At 46.4% G+C, this 3,711-nt stretch overlaps 1 annotated feature.

Moving 5' to 3' along the window:
• Positions 985 to 1,485: an enhancer, noted in NCBI's record as "H3K27ac hESC enhancer chr3:142947064-142947564 (GRCh37/hg19 assembly coordinates)". NCBI's record gives its function as "activates a minimal SCP1, AML or CMV promoter by ChIP-STARR-seq in primed H9 embryonic stem cells {active_cell/tissue: H9 hESC(primed)}" and the evidence as "EXISTENCE:reporter gene assay evidence [ECO:0000049][PMID:30033119]".

Below are 3,711 nucleotides of genomic sequence, written 5' to 3'. Positions count from 1 at the left end.
TGGGCCAGGTAAGCCTGACTGAAGGGAAGTGGACCACATGGGCTCCTGGGAGCTGCCCTTGCTTCCTCAGAGAATGAAGAAAATTCACATGGATGCAAGGCCGACTTTGTGCCAAACTCTGTGCCCAGGGCTGTTTCATTATCTTTTCTTTTCTTTTTTTTCTTTTTTTTTTTTTGAGATGGAGTCTCACTCTGTCACCCAGACTGGAATGCAGTGGTGCCATCTCAAGTCACGGCAGGCTCCACTTACCAGGCTCAGGTGATCCTCCCACCTCAGCCTCCCAAGTAGCTGGGATTACAAGCATGCACCACCACACCTGGCTAATTTTTGTATTTTTAGTAGAGACAGAGTTTTGCCATATTGGACAGGTTGATCTCAAACTCCTGACCTCAAGCGATTTGCCTGCCTCCGTCTCACAAAGTGCTGGGATTACAGGCCTGAGCCACCACACCTGGCCCATTTCATTATTTTGTGTAATCATTCTGACAGCTCTCTGAGGGCTTGTCATTTCTATATCAACAACAAGGAAACTAAGCCTCAAGTGCTTTGCCACCTGCCCAAGGTCAGGTAGCTCATGAATGAGTGAGCCAGTTATGATTCAAGCCCAGGGCTGTCTGACCCCAAAGCCACACTTCTTCCTTCAAACACGCTTCCTGAGGGGCAGCCACCCTGAGGAGGTCATGTTGGGGAAGCTCAGCCAACGGGAGTGGTTGGCAGGAGCCAGAGAGATGGGGCTGTGCTGTTAGTGCCATGCCTCTGTCACTACCCAGGGACACAGCCCCACTCAGAGCTGGCTGTCAGAGAACTCCAAACAGCAGCCTTGAAGGGTCTAGATATGCTTTGTCTTTGTCCTCACTTACCACGCCTTTAAATGTCTCTCTCGCTGGGGGCAGGGTTATCTAGATTCTAAGACAGGGTGTTCTTATGGCTGCCCCTTCCCCCCAGCACCTTTTACTCCTTCCGATGGGTATCATGGCTGCAGCGATGCTTGATGCTTTGCGGTGGGAGCTCAATGTCCCCCAACTCCCTAGCCAGCTTGGAAAAGTGCCACTTCCTCCCTCGGGGGGCCACAGCTCAGGCCAGCTCTTCTCCCAGCATCCCCAGCCAGCACCAGGCCCTAGGGGCAGTGAACAGGCCTCCTGCGCCCTGCCGCACAGCCATCCTCCGCACGCCCGCTGCTTCTCTCAGGTGACTCCTGGGCCTGACTGTCCCACAGGCCAGACACCGGAAGCACAGGGAATTGGACGTATCTCAGGCTATCCCCGGCCTCAGCTTCTCCCTTCCCAGCACTCCCTCCCTGAGGGTCCTCCTCCACAGGCTGCTGGGAAATGAGTCCGAACCCCAGCACCCGTCTCTGGTAACAGGGCTAAGGTCTCTTAAGAGTAGGTGAAGGGACCTTAGCCCTGTTACCAGAGACGGGTGCTGGGGTTCGGATTCATTTCCCAGCAGCCTGTGGAGGAGGACCCTCAGGGAGGGAGTGCTGGGAAGGGAGAAGCTGAGGCCGGGGATAGCCTGAGATACTTCCAATTCCCTGTGCTTCCGGTGTCTGGCCTGTGGGACAGTCAGGCCCAGGAGTCACCTGAGAGAAGCAGCGGGCGTGCGGAGGATGGCTGTGCGGCAGAAGAGTAGGTGAAGACAGTTAGAATGGCAATCATTAAAAAGTCAGGAAACAACAGGCGCTGGAGAGGATGTGGAGAAATCGGAACACTTTTACACTGTTGGTGGGACTGTAAACTAGTTCAACCATTGTGGAAGTCAGTGTGGCGATTCCTCAGGGATCTAGAACTAGAAATACCATTTGACCCAGCCATCCCATTACTGGGTATATACCCAAAGGACTATAAATCATGCTGCTATAAAGACACATGCACACGTATGTTTATTGCGGCACTATTCACAATAGCAAAGACTTGGAACCAACCCAAATGTCCAACAATGATAGACTGGATTAAGAAAATGTGGCACATATACACCATGGAATACTATGCAGCCACACAACATGAAGAGTTCATGTCCTTTGTAGGGACATGGATGAAACTGGAAACCATCATTCTCAGCAAACTATCGCAAGGACAAAAAACCAAACACTGCATGTTCTCACTCATAGGTGGGAATTGAACAATGAGAACACATGAACACAGGAAGGGGAACATCACACTCTGGGGACTGTTGTGGGGTGGGGGGAGGGGGCAGGGATAGCATTGGGAGATATACCTAATGCTAGATGACGAGTTAGTGGGTGCAGCGCACCAGCATGGCACATGTATACGTATGTAACTAACCTTCACATTGTGCACATGTACCCTAAAACTTAAAGTATAATAATAAAAAAATAAAAAATAATAAAAAAAAGAGTAGGTGAAGGAAGCAGTTGGCCTTTCTGCTTCGTTTTCTAGTTTTCATCTCCTTTTTGAAAATACGTTAAGTATGAAGAGGCAGCTGTAATTATGGTTTTTCTTTCCTGCCAAAGAGCTGTACTTAGAAAGTTGGGGAGATTCCTAGACAATATATTTGGACTTTTTTTCCCCACTGTCCCTAAGATAGAAGTTTGTGTTCCCGCCCTTCCAGGGGCAGCTGCAGGTACCACAGTAAAGGGCTGGCTAGGAGCCAAAGCAAATCGAAGCACGTGTAAGCCATGCTGTCTCGTAGTAACAGCAATTGATCCCAGCCAATGCCCAAAATATACCAATAGAGACTTTCTTTCTCTCTCTCTGCAACTGGCTTTCTTTAGCAGACACCGCCAGTCGCCTACTCAATATCCAGTTTCTTTGTCTCCTTCATGTTGAAGCCCTTCACTTCCAAGCTCCTCACAGCAAAGCAGTTCTGACTGGCCACACTTGTTGCCCTGCCAGCTTCAGCTTCCCTTCTTTCTGCCTGTGAGGATTTGGGACAGGATAACTTGAGACGCGGGAGTCAAAGCTGACTTTCAAGATATGACGACCACCAGGTTAAACAGACCCTACAAGTCTCATTCCTTTCATCTATTTGGAATTTATTTTTATAAATGATACTAGACATGAATCATTTTTAATTTTCCTCCAGATGAATAGTCTGTTGCACTCACATGATTTATTAAATAAACCATTCTTCCTCTACTGAATTGAAACAGCACATTTTAATATAGAGAATTTTCATATAAGTTTGAGATCTGTAATAAAGTTATATTATAGATATTTTGGGGCTTAAAAAAATAAGGAAACCATTAATATCCCAGGTAAAATCAGGATTTTGGATATTCAGGTTCCCTTTATTCAAGCAGAAGGCTGAATATCTCAGAGAACTCTTGTCATGGGCAGTCTGGTGCTGTTTTATTACTATAATATAACAGTTTGGGATCTGTTTCTGAATTGTCCATCTGTGCTCTAATCTATAGAGCTATCCCTGTGCCTATATCATATCGATTTATTACGGTGGCTCTTAGTGTTTTAATACTTAGTAAAGCAGGTGCCTCTACATCATGCTTCCTTCTGCACTTTTACTGGCTGTTCACAGGCATTTTTCTTCCACGATGAAAAATTTCTTAATATGAAGTTTAAGATCATCATCATCAATTACCCACCCCCCATGGCATTTCTATATTAATATTGACATAATTGATTTTGTATAGTATTAACTCTTCCCGTCTAAGAACATAAGTTTCTCCATTTATTCAGATGTTAATTTATATTCTTCCATTTTGATATTATCATTTATGTCACATAGGTTTTGAAC

Source organism: Homo sapiens, chromosome 3 (assembly GCF_000001405.40).
Source record: "Homo sapiens chromosome 3, GRCh38.p14 Primary Assembly".
Classification (NCBI taxonomy): domain Eukaryota; kingdom Metazoa; phylum Chordata; class Mammalia; order Primates; family Hominidae; genus Homo; species Homo sapiens.
This window is presented reverse-complemented; position numbering and strand designations above follow the sequence as displayed.